This window comes from Homo sapiens, chromosome 8 (genome assembly GCF_000001405.40).
Source record: "Homo sapiens chromosome 8, GRCh38.p14 Primary Assembly".
Classification (NCBI taxonomy): Eukaryota; Metazoa; Chordata; class Mammalia; order Primates; family Hominidae; genus Homo; species Homo sapiens.
Genome location: NC_000008.11, coordinates 25,899,036 through 25,912,169, shown reverse-complemented (window position 1 = coordinate 25,912,169; position 13,134 = coordinate 25,899,036). Strand labels below are relative to the sequence as shown.

Genomic DNA, 13,134 nt, shown 5'->3' with positions numbered 1-13,134 from the left:
CACCCATGGGGTTGTTGTGAGAATGAAATACAGTGTTGTGTATTGGGCAGAGTGGCTACTCAGCAAACTGTGTTTCCCTCCACTCCGTGACCCCTGTACCCTTCAGCTGCTGGACCGTGCAGGATTGTTAGAGGTTATGTAGGTGGCTCTGATCTGTGATATTCCTGAAGCACCCTCCCTGCCTCAGAAGCAGAGAGAAAGGGTCCTAAAGGGACAGTGCAACTCACCCAACAATCTGCCCATCAGCCTCAGGGCACCGCCCACTCTGGGCACGGCGTCACCCTGGATGTCCTATTTCCCACCAGTCAGCTGTCCCCACTTATTTATTTTTCACAGTTTTATCTCAGTGGGTTTCACCTACGTCTCAGAAACCCTCACTCCCACCTCTGCCACACCCACTCAGGTTTCAATAAGTCATGGTCTCTTGTTTTCAGTGGTTTCTTTCCCCACTGTAACCCTTTTTGGAAGGAAGGTTCTCAACTCTGTACATTTTTCTTTGCAGTCATAAAATATTAATGTTAGAAAGAACCCTACAGATCCCATTCAACTCCTTCGTTAAGAGAGAATGAATGTGAGGTAACTTGGTCCTGTGGTCAGTTGGTAGCCACAGGTCAAGGCTAACCCTTGGGGCATTTCCAATGGATCTGTAGAGTAAAGGAATGCTCTGGTACATTCTCCTGCCCCACTGACCTAGGGACCGGATTGCCATCTGAAGGTTTGAGTTGCCATGTTGACTCCTCTTTCCGATCCTCTTCATCCTGTAACATGAGGATAAACCTGTGATTGTTAGTGTTCGCTCTTAAGGAATGGGATCAGAAGCTTTGTCGTGTGTAGCATGCACCGTGGTTATGATATTCACGTTGTCAACATTGTTTGGAGAAAGTGGAAATAGATTTCATCCTGATAATCTGCACATTTGGTCTGAATCTCATAATTTATCTGGGTTTCCCGTTTCTTAGTGGAGAGTGCCGACATTTTCCAGGCAGCTCTGGCTTCAGGAGGGATCTAGACCCAGGGGATTTGGAGAGAATTTGTTCCCTGTAAGTTACCCCGTGGCTAAATGGATGGTATGATTAGTGAAGGTTTTGTATCAAGACCCTGAGCATGGTGGATGGAGAGGGTGGAGGGCGGAGAACCAGAAGACACCAGTTAAAGTAAGAGGAAAAAAAAATGGAGATGTCAGTAAGCCCCAGAATTTCTTTTAATTAATTTTTAGATCCATATATTAAAAAATCCAGGCCATAATTTCTGGTGCAAGCCATTTAGAAGTAGCAATACCTTCTTTTAGAAGATACTATGTAATGCAAGAGAACTTTCTGTCTCTGTCTTCTCTCACTCACCTCCCTCTTCCTCCTCCCACTTAACCTCCCCTTCTCCTTCGTGAACCCAGTGCTAAGTCCTCAGAGTGCACGGGGCTGTGTAGGTTACAAATTCAGCCCCCCAGACAAGCAAAGAGTCAAACTAGGTGTTTTCCATCCAAATCACTGTTAAGGGTCCTAATTTAAAATGAATAAAGCCTTTCAGCAGGCTCCATGTTTCCCTAAATCAATTTGATTTTATGTAAACATTTATCTCTTTTGCACTTTTCCACCTACCACACCATTCATATAATAATGCCTTCATGAACATTAATGTTTTCACCAGATACATTTTGGAGCGGGGAGTGGGGGTAGTCTAACACACACAGAACACATTACAAGGAGCACAGTTGTGGCAAAACTTTCCAGAAATCAAGGACTAAATGAGAAAAAGCCCTCCATTTGGGTTTAGCAGGGGAAAAATGTAAGTCGTAAATTGCCGCTGGGAGTGGTTGAGGGCCAGTGTGGGGTGCAGCGGGGGCTATTGTTCAGAAACACACACAAGTGGGAAAAGGCAATATTTGCAAGCATTGTGAGTGTCCGTGGCTGACTCTGCTACGAGTGTACAAACGGAGGGGATGTTTACCCTTCAAGAAATAAAATGTTTGAATTCTGATCAGTCTTTACTTACATAAAAGCAATTCTCCTTTCTAACGCACTCTGACGACCCGGGCAGAGATGCTACTGCCGTTCAGAAAGCAGCGGCAGGTTGTGAATTTGAACACTGAGGTCGGACAGCCACGCACAACATTTTCTCTGCCTTATCCTTCCGCAGGTCTCTTCCATAAAGACCCCAACACCTCCGGGGCACAGGAAGCAAAGCCCAACCTCCCACCCACCCTATAAAAGATTGAAAGAGAGAAGTGAAAAGCAGATGTTATAAAATCATGAAAAAAATATTTAGCTGTTGCTTTCAAATTCACACTCAACCTTATTCATGGGAGCATGTGGCCAAATATTTCCAGCAAACAGAGTAAAAGAGCCTCAAACACAGAAAATACTCTGAAAAGCCAATTCCCCTTCTCTCCTCCTTTATCATTTACTGTTTATCTACTCATCAGTTTTTTAAAGTGATAAATACATTTAATTGGAGAGCTATCTAATTCTTTTGTGTGATTGTTAAACAAAAAATAAAAATCAGAACGTCGCAATGAGAACATTTCACCAACCATTGCTTTAGAATAGAATTTTTGGAAGCATTGTTGATTTCTACTTATTTTTGTTTGTAAATCCTGAGGAAAATGTATATCTTTTCCTTTAAAGTTCTAATTCAAGACATGGATGTGAGAGTTCTGAAGGGACTTTGGGACTGCGGTAAAATTTCGTTGTCATAGTAACAGAAAGGGAAATAGGCCTAGCTCACCTGGGACTTTAACACTGCAAAAGCTGGATTTTTTTTTTTTTTAAGGGAAAGGACTCTGCAAGTGAAATAAATGAAAAACTTACTGTATTTTGAAACAAATTTTCAAACATTAACTAGGTGAGTTGCTGAAAAGGCCACTTCTGCCATTTTTCTTGGTTAACGTAGTTGCCTGATGAAAGATGCCCAATTTTAAAATTGCACAGATAGGCCATTTAAGAGAGAATATTGGCTTCAAGAAATATATATGACAAATGCTAACCTCAGACCATGATTCTGTGCTTTCATGTTTCTCTGAATAATCTATACATGAACTGAGAGGATATTCACACTTCTTATTAATCATAAAAACTCTGGCATATACCTGCACAGATGGACTTTGTCTTTGGAAGATAACATATCATTTTCTGATTTTGTAAACATTAGTTGAATATATCAGGCCACCTTCACGTATGAGCATGAAGGTGTCTGGGGCCAGTGGAGAGCCACACAGACGAGACGCCCTGGGATTCTGGGGCCGGGTCCTGCCATTTTTAACCCTGGAGCAAGACTTTCTGTACAGCAGGGGTCACTGCTGCATTTGAAGCCTTTTTAAAAAAATTTTCCAGAACGAGTGCTCTACAAACTCCGGGGGCCAGTGTACAAACCAAAGCCCACCTTGTGAACCACTTAACAATCCCCCACAGTGATGGGGAAGCGGGTGCTGGGCTTGAGATTGAAAACATCCAAATTTGCAAATTGCAGAGGGTCAGCAGTGTTCCTTCACAGGCAGGGCAGGTTGAAATTCCCCAGATCTGAAATAGAATCGCTGTCAAATCAAATCTAATGGAATGCAGCTATATTCTCCCTTTAAAAATGTTTACTGAAAAATGTAACACATCGCTTTCTCTTCACAGATTCTTTTTAAAATTTTTCCTCAAGTGCAATCAGAATTGTTTGAAAACAGCAGGAAACCCAAGGGACATGAGACGGTTTCAGGTAAGGGGCCCTGCAGATCTTTCCTGTTAAATAAGTCATCCTGTTTTCTCTCTCCTTCTCACTCTTTTTATTTTCTTTTTCTTTAAAAATTACTATTCACTGCTACTCCTAACAATAAAAAAGACAATGGTAAACGATGACCCTCAGCCACTAGCATTGAGAGTTTCTTCATCTTGTAGTGTTTAAGCTTTCTGCCCCCATTGCCAAAGCCCTATGGGGAGAGGCACCAACCGGTGCTGGAGATTTGATTTTCAGCCCTCGGGCTGCCCACTGCACACACAGCTGCCCACAGCAGGAACCATGTTCTTGATATTCAGCCACCTTGGGATTTTTCAGAGCAGCTTCTCTGTATTTTCTGCAAGCAACAGCTCCTGTCTTCCCTTTTCCACCGATTAACTATTCAGTGGTCGCTCTCTGAGCCTTCTGGAAGGCAGCAGCCCAAGCAGCGTGGTCACTTTAAGATCGCAGCGTGACAACAAGACCCACGGGACGGTGACCCAGCTGCCTGGCAGTTAAATCTGCCACCGGTTTCATCACCCTTGCCACTGATGTACTGAGGAGACGAGCTAATAAAAACAGAGCGAGGCAAAGTGTATCAGGCTGGAGACGAAAGCAAGAGCAGCTCCTCTCGGCCCCCTTCCTTGAGCTTTGAAGGACCCATATTTAATTCACCAAATGGCTTTCCTGCCACTCACACCCCGTTCTAGATGTGGCACCTCCTTTTCCATAGAAAAATTAAAAACATGTTAAACGATAGTATGCAAGCTTGAGACTTCAAAAAGTAAATCCTTGCAGCCATGAGAGAGATGGGGAACCTTAGCCTCATGTTTCGCCTGAGACAAGCGAGGTTCTGGAAGGTTAAATAACTTGCCCCTAATCACAGTAAGTAGGTGGTAAAGCCCGGAGCCAGGAGCCGGGAGGAGTTGTTTGATCAAACTCTTTCCAGCACACTGTGGGCATGCGACACGTTGCAGCTGCTAGGTTTATCTTTTGCTGTTGTCTTCTTGAAATTCTGAATAATTTTTTTTTTTTTTTTTTTTTTTTTTTTTTTTTTGAGGCAGGGTCTCACTCTGTCACCTAGGCTGGAGAGCAGTGGTGTGATCTTGGCTCACTGCAAACTCCGCCTCCTGGGCTCAAGGGATTCTCATGCCTCACCCTCCTGAGTAGCTAGGACTACAGGTGTGCACCATCATGCCCTGCTAATTTTTGTATTTTTTGGTAGAGATGGGGTTTTGCCATGTTGCCCAGGTTGGTCTCAAACCCCTGACCTCAGGTGATTCACCCACCTAGGCCTCTCAAAGTGCTGGGGTTACAGGTGTGAGCTACCACATCGGACCCTGAATAATTTTTGAACAAGGAATGTGACATTCATTTTTTATTGAACCCTACAAATTATGTAGCTGGTCCTGCTGGAGAGCTTCTGTGGTTAGGCCACAATCAGACAGATGTTTAGGAGCAGAGCCATTCAAGAGTTAACAGGAAGATGGCCATACACAAGGGCTACTGAGAGTTACTTTGAAAAAAAAACTAGTAGTAGTATTTTTTAACCCCATCATGGCTATCAATCTTGCTGTGACAGGAACATTTTTCATTACAATACTTAACACTATTACCAGCCTCCCTTTAAAAAGTTGGAGACTTTTTCTCTCTTGGGCAGGCTGTTTCCCTGCCTTTTTTTGTTTGTTTGTTTGTTTGTTTGTTTGTTTTGAGATGGAGTCTCGCTCTGTCACCCAGGCTGGAGTGCAATGGTATGATCTTGGCTCACTGCAACCTCCTCCTCCTGGGTTCAAGCAATTCTCCTGCCTCACCCTCCTGAGTAGCTGGGACTACAGGCACATGCCACCACGCCTGGCTAATTTTTGTATTTTTAGTAGAGATGAGGTTTTGACATGTTGGCCAGGCTGGTCTGAAACTCCAGACCTCAAGTGATCCACCCGACTCAGCCTTCTAAATTGCTGGGATTACAGGTGTGAGCCACCGCTTCTGGGCCTACTTTCTTGTATGAAGAAAAACAGAAATAAAACCAGCCTTCTTGGGGGATCAAACAGGAACTTCGTGCATGGTGGAAATTCACTGTGCTCAATATTCCAAATAAAAATGTAAATAATTTCAGTCCAAAGAAGAGTAAAATTCAAAAGAATTCCAAAGTGCCTCCATGACCAAAGCTTAGCTTTATTTCTAGAAGATACAGAGGCAGAGAAAAGAGAGTTGGCAGTTTGGATTTTTATTCCATCCTACTTTCTACCAGCACTTTCAAAGAGTTTTAAATTTGAGAATTTGAGGATACTCTTGTAAATGTGAAGAGGCTTCCATTGTAGGAGAATGCCTTGTCATTTTCTTTCTCCCAAAGTTTAGGAATATATTCACAAAGCAAATGCATGCTAATATTTCCTCTACTTCTTTAGTTATTTACTTAAATGGGGTTTTCATGGTGCCTGAGTTTTTCATTGGCATAGAATAAATATTGTTGATCTCAAAATGATATAGAATTCTCATCCTATGTGAAAGTATTTGACTTTTGCAAAGACAAGGGCAAAAAGAATTGTTTAGACTTTGTGGATTCTCTGATTGTCTTATTTCAAGGGTAGAGCTAAAGTCAACTGGCAATTTGTTTGCATTTTTTACTGAGATAAAATTCATATAACATACAATTCACCATTTTAACCATTTAAAAGTGCAGGGTCCAGTGGTTTTTAGTACATTCAAAGTGTTGTACAACCAGCACCACTATCTAATTCCAGAACTTTTCTATTATCCCAAGAAGAAATCTCATGTCTCCCAGTTCCTGTTTCTCCCCATTCACTGGCAACCACTAATCTACTTTCTGTCTCTATAGGTTTGTCTATTCTGGGAATTTAACATAAATAGAATCATACAATATGTGGCTTTTGTGTCTGTTTTTGTCTGTTAGCATAATGTTTTTAAAGTTCCTCTATGTGATAGCATGTATCAATACTTCATTCCTTTTTACAGCTTGACTATTCCATTGTATGGATATATCACATTTTAAAATTCATTAGTCAGTTAGTGGACGTTTGGATTGTCTCACTTTTTGGCTATTACAAACAATGACACTGTTAGTATTTGTGCACAGTTTCACTGTGTGACATATGTTTTTAATTCTCTTGGGTATACAACTAAGAACAGAATTTCTGGGTCATATGGTAATTGTTTCTTTAAGTTTTTGAGGAACTGCCAAACTGTTTTCCATAGTGGTTGCACCATTTTACATTTCCACTGGTAATCTGTGAAGGTGTCAATTCCTCGCCAACACTTGGGATTTTCTGTTTTAAAAAAATTCTAGTCATCCTATGGGTGTGAAGAGGTATCTCATTGTGGTTTTGATTTGCATTTCCTTAATGATTAGTGATTTTGAGCATCTTTTCATGTGCTTATTGCTCATTTGTATATCTTCTTTGAGGAAGTGTCTATTTAAATCCTTTGCCCATTTTTTAGTTGCATTATTTGTCATTTTATTGTTGAGCTGTAAGAGTTCTTTATATATTCAGGATACTGGCTCCTTCTCAAACATGTGATTTGAAAATATTTTCTCCTATTCCATGAGTTGTCATTCACTTTCTTGATAGTGTCCTTTGGTGCACAAAAGAATTGGCAATTTTTATACTGTACTTAGATTCTACTAAGAATATAACCTTCAATGAAAGCTCTCTCATAGAGAAGGTTATTATGAAGACAGGCTTAGCAATATGCTATCATAGTCAAGTAAGAAACTTAGTTCAGGTTCCAAATATGAAACAAAACCAGAGAGAGTGCATACTCATGGTGGTAGGACAGTCATCTGAATGGATGGTGACTTTCAGAAATTCCTAGAGTATGTATCTCACTCAGAAGGACAAAGACAATCATTTAGAGCCATATACACAATTCCTTCAATTCTCTACTTTTGTGATATGATCAAACATAAATTTAATATGAAGGATTCTTTCGTGAGGATTTGATCTGAATGGAATAGAAATATGAAAAATTTCTACCCAAATCCTGAACTCTATAAAACTCTCCCCCCTCCTTCCCTTACCCCCAAACACTGGTGGAACCTGGATTCTTTTTACAAAAATCATCCAATCAGACCAAAATTGTTACATCAAGGTTATTTTCAAGCTTGAACCAATCCTCTCTTTAATTTCATTCAAGTCCTAAGTATTATAGGACATAAAAAATACTGAAACACAAAGGGTTTTAACCCTTTTAACCCTTTTTAACCTTTTTTTTTTTTTTTTGGCCCAGACCCCTTTAAGAATCTGGTAAAAGCTATAGTCTGTATCCCATTGAAATACTACGTTTAAAGTTTTAATTAAAATTTCAGGGGTCTCCAGACCACTTGAAATATCTCAAGCTTCCATGGACCTCTAGTCTAAAGAAATGGAATTCATTTAAAGCCCAATAGGCATCCTTCATGTAAGGTAACCTTTAACAGTGGGGATCTGTCCACTTAGGACTTTTCCTGGTGATCTCTCATCCACTCTCTTGGCTTCAAATGCTCTCTGTTCCTGGATGATTTCTGTATCCATATTCTCAGACTTCTTTAGAGCTGCAGGCATATAATGCTAGCTTCCTTCTGGGCATCTTCCCTGGATGACTAATGAGCACGTGTTCAAAACAGAACTCACTGCTTGTTCCCTGATTCATTCCCTCCTCTTTCATTGTCAAAGTGTCGCTGCCTCCTCCTAAGTATCTATTAAATCCACCTCTCTCCTCAAAAGCTGCCACAGCCCCTGTCTTTTTTTTTCTGTTTTTGTTTGTTTGTTTGTTTGTTTTTGAGACGGAGTCTCGCTCTGTCGCCCAGGCTGGAGTGCAGTGGCGCGATCTCGGCTCACTGCAAACTCCGCCTCCCGGATTCACGCCATTCTCCTGCCTCAGCCTCCAGAGTAGCTGGGATTACAGGCACTTGCCACCACGCCTGGCTATTTTTTTTTGTATTTTTAGTAGAAACGGGGTTTCACCGTGTTAGCCAGGATGGTCTCGATTTCCTGACCTCGTGATCCACCCGCCTGGGCCTCCCAAAGTGCTGGGATTACAGGCGTGAGCCACCGCGCCCGGCTGTAGCCCCTGTCTTTATTCCTCCCCTGTCTAACCCGTCCTCAGCATGAATGCCAGAGTTACCTCTTAAAATATGTCAGGGTGCTAGGCACAGTGGCTCATGCCTGTAATCCCAGCTCTTAGGAAGGCAGAGGCAGGAGGACAACTTGAGCCCAGGAGTTTGAGACCTGCTTGGGGAATGTAGTGAGACCTTGTTCTCCACAAAAAGGAAAAAAAAAAAAAAAAAAACCCAGACAAAATGTCATGAGGATGCCGCATTTACCCTGATGTGATTACTGTGCATTGTATGCCTGTGTCAGAATATCTCATGAACCCTATAAATATATATGTCTGCTACGTATCCATAAAAATTAAATACATACACCTACTAAAATGGGTATCAACTGTCCATGGACACAAAGCCTGGATTTAAAAAGGCATGGCTGAGAAGGCCACTCAGCCTCTGCCTACCAGGAAAACCTGCCATGCCTGTCCCAGAAGTTCTCATCTGCCTGCTGCTCACCACACACCCATCTCTGATTTCTGTTCCATCTAGGAAGCTTTCCATATGTTCACCCCTCTGCCTGGGAACCCTTCACCCCTCTCCAACTTGTGACTCCTTTTCATGCTTTAAGGCTACAGCTGAATGTCACCACCTTAGTGATGCATTTTCTGACTCTTCCAAATGGAGCTGTTGGTTCCTGGGTCTGTGCTGACACACCCTTCTCTGCAGGCCCCTACCCTGCCAGTTATCACATCATCTTGCAGTTCTTGTTTGTCTGTCCAATAGACTGTGTGCTGCTTGAAGGCAATCGATATGTTTTATTTATTTTTGTATGTATTGCCAATGTCTAGCATAATGGCAGGCATTCTGTAGATTATTATTAAATAAATAGATTAATTATTAAAATAATTGATTAAAATAATGGATTATTATTAAATAAATTTTTAAGAGAGCAAAAGAAAAAAGGAAAAAAGAGAAAACAAACTTAAGATTTCCAGGGCTCCTCAAAGTATCTAAATCCATGGGTCATGCATGCGGAAAATCACTTCTGCCCTCCTTGAAATGGAACAATTAGGTGAAACACCCAGATTAACAGCTCAATGAAGGAAAAGAAAAGAAATGTATGTCTAGTTTAAGCTGACAGGCCTGTTAAGACATAATGAATCCCATTCTTTATTTCTTTCTGCTTGTGTGGGTGGAGTGAAGGCAGTTGTAAAATCCAAAAGAAAATCAAGCTAGGAAGAGGAAGTCAGGCACACGGTCATTTCCCACATTCACATTCTAAAAATCACTAGGAATTGACAATAATTTAGAGCTTATTGTTGCTAATTCACTGTCATAGATAGGATGGCTGGGTCTATTCCAAGTCATAGTGAAAACATAGAGGTACTCATTCATTTATTCATGCACCCAGCCAATATTACTGATGAAATTCTGTGTGCCAGGCACTATCCTAGGTGCTGGAGATACAGCAGAGAGCAAATCATAAAATTCCTGCCCTTGAGGGGCTTGCATCCTAGTGGAAGGATATAAAAAATAAATGAGTGGTTTGCATAGCTCAAGTCTGCTTCTCTGTGACATTCAGGTGACTTTCCTGGAAGCAGTGGGCTTCCGTACAGTGCCAGCTGTGTTTGTGGTGCTTGCTGGAACTCAGCAGCTTGGTCAAGTATAGATGTTTGTGGAGCTAAATGATACTCACCATTATAGTAACAGTAAGTGTGGATGCTCTTATGAATAGTTTTCTGAGCTTTCCACAGCATCACCTATTATAGGACACAAATGTCAGCAGATCTACTTGAGACTGGGAAGCTTAGAGGCCTGAATGCTGAGTTTTTACCCTCTGCCTCAAAAGGACTTCATTTTAAAAATACATGATCATTGGGGTGTTCTCTATCCTGTGGGCAGCACAAGCGTGTATATTAGGTCGTTTCAGATGTAGTAGCATTCTGGAATTGAGATCCTTGACACAGTCCAACCTCAAAAATCATTAACTTTTTTTTTTTTTTTTTTTGAGACAAGATGTCACTCTTTTGCTCAAGCTGGAGTGCAGTGGTACAATCTTGGCTCACTGCAACCTCTGCCTCTCCAGCTCAAGCCATCTCCCCACCTCAGCCCCTTAAGTAGCTAGGACTACGGGTGTGTGCCATCAGGCCTGGCTAATTTTTGTATTTTTTATCGAGACGGGGTTTTGCCACATTGCCCAGGCTGGTCTTGAACTCCTGAGATCAAGTGATTCACCCACCCGTCTCAACCTCTCAAAATGCTGAGATTGCAAATGTGAACCACCACACCCAGCCTAAATTTTTTTTATTGATATATAATGTTTGCAATCTTTATGGGGTACATGCAATATTTTGTTGCATGCATTGAATGTGTAATAATCAAGTCAGAGTAGTTAGGGTATCCATAGTCATCCATCATCATGAGAATTGATCATTTCTCTACGTTGGGAATATTGCAAGTTCTCTCTTTTAGCTGGTTTGAAATGTACAATACATGGTTGTTAACTGTAGTCACCCCACTCTATCAAATATTAGACGTTACACCTTCTAACTGTATGTTTGTACCCATTAACCAACCTCTCTTCATCCTGCCTAATCATTTTTTTTTTAGTTTTCTCACTTTTTTTATTTTTTATTTTATTATTATTATACTTTAAGTTTTAGGGTACATGTGCACAATGTGCAGGTTAGTTTTTAATGAACTTCACTCTAATCGACAGCTTACTTGTAATTAAGATAAAGATGCTTACCTCAATTTGCTGAACTTTCATGAGAGACCCTTGGGTGTCTCAAATTTACCCCCTAAATTACTCCCTTTTTAGATTAGGTCCACCAGAATAATCATTTTTAATTTACAGAGTCATGCTAGGGAGAAGACTGAGATATATGTGCAGGTCGTGTCATCCTTGGCCTCAAGAGATATGTCAGTAGATATGGAAAGACAGATATATTTCTTTTTCTTTCTTTTTTTACAGACAGGGTCTTACTCTGTCACTGAGGCTGGAGTGCAGTGGTGCAATATTGGTTCACTACAGCCTTGGTCTTTTGGGCATAAGTGATCCTCCTGCTTCAATCTCCCAAGTAGCTGGGACTACAGGTGCATGCAACACAAAAAACCAGCTAATTTTTGTGTTTTTTGTAGAGACAGGGTTTTGCTATGTTGCCCAGGCTGGTCTCGAACCCCTGGGCTCAAGTGATTCACTCGCCTTGGCTTCGCAAATTGTTGGGATTACAGGTGTGAGCCACCACACCTGGCCAGACAGACACATTTCTAATGAAAGAAAAATCATTCCAGGAGTCAGGCTGGGGAAGCCTTCAGTGCTGAGTTGGTTCCAGGTTGCATGCAAGCCCAGGATGGGCCTGCTGGAAGGGCATCTTGATGGGGATTTGAAGGGTTCGAGGGAAGGGGTTGGAGCTTTTTGAAAACACACCTGGCGCATCTGCCAGGCCTGTGAGAAAGCAAGAAGAAGCGCCCGGTGTGGGAGAGAAGGGAACCAAGGGCAGAAAGATCTGCCGGATGGGAATGGAGAAAGGAAGTGAGGCCCCGTTGGGACTGACTGGCGTCCACAGGGTGGTTGGATCATGTGAGAGGCCTCGTGCCTGTTGCTGCAACATGCTGGATGCGACAACTGCAGAAGAACGATGGGGCAAATGAATGGCTCTGACAAAGACACCTCGTACACACAGCTGGGCACGAGCCATTAGTCGGGTTTACTAAACGACGTGAGAGCAAAGGGCACGGCTACTCATGTCTTGGAAAAGAGCCAAGCTCCATCCAGCAACCCCTTATGATTTTTAAACCCCCAGCTCTTATATAAAACTTTTTAATGGCACCACCATCTATTTTCCTTAAATAAAAAATGTTGAATGTTTCTCTCACACCCGTTGGAGAGGGAAACGAGAGTTTAAATTAACTCCAAATGGTAAAAATTTAATACAGCTCCAGCTGCCTGCAGGTTTCTTCAGTTCACATCTTTCAGTGTGAGAGCTGCTCCAGCTGCTCTGTGATCTCATCTACCATTTGAAATCCGGAGTGCTACTGAGCAGCAGTTTTAAAGCACATAATGGAAATCACTTGACTTATGGCCTCTCTGATCAGCAGGTGAGTCCATTATCTGATGATAAAACAAACCAGATAGTCCTAGTTAAGAAATCATAATTATCTATTTGGAGTCAGAAAAAAAAAAAAAAACTGTGGAGGGTCGGAGGATCTTTCTCTTAGTCCAATGATGTAAGCTTGGGGAAGGCTCTCTGGAGTGACTTCAGGCTTTTCTCTGCTGTTAGAACCTTCTGCTGCCTCCACCCCTAAATTTTGGTGTCTTGAATGGGGACAAGAATCAGGATGACAGAAATCTTGACTGACTCACCCAGGAAATGAGTTTTGAGCTCTTTGTA

At 41.8% G+C, this 13,134-nt stretch overlaps 1 protein-coding gene across 1 annotated transcript in view, besides 2 other annotated features; it reads left to right on the top strand.

Annotated features, from left to right (window-relative positions):
* The window catches only part of EBF2 (EBF transcription factor 2), a 203,689-nt gene that overhangs the window by 133,244 nt on the left and 57,311 nt on the right, over positions 1 to 13,134 (top strand). Inside the window, exon 7 of the mRNA NM_022659.4 lies at positions 3,615 to 3,696. Coding sequence (NP_073150.2) covers positions 3,615 to 3,696 — 82 coding nt within the window. The remainder of the gene's footprint in view (positions 1 to 3,614; positions 3,697 to 13,134) is intronic.
* Positions 11,768 to 12,267: an enhancer, noted in NCBI's record as "H3K4me1 hESC enhancer chr8:25757419-25757918 (GRCh37/hg19 assembly coordinates)". NCBI's record gives its function as "activates a minimal SCP1, AML or CMV promoter by ChIP-STARR-seq in naive H9 embryonic stem cells {active_cell/tissue: H9 hESC(naive)}" and the evidence as "EXISTENCE:reporter gene assay evidence [ECO:0000049][PMID:30033119]".
* Positions 12,268 to 12,769: an enhancer, noted in NCBI's record as "H3K4me1 hESC enhancer chr8:25756917-25757418 (GRCh37/hg19 assembly coordinates)". NCBI's record gives its function as "activates a minimal SCP1, AML or CMV promoter by ChIP-STARR-seq in naive H9 embryonic stem cells {active_cell/tissue: H9 hESC(naive)}" and the evidence as "EXISTENCE:reporter gene assay evidence [ECO:0000049][PMID:30033119]".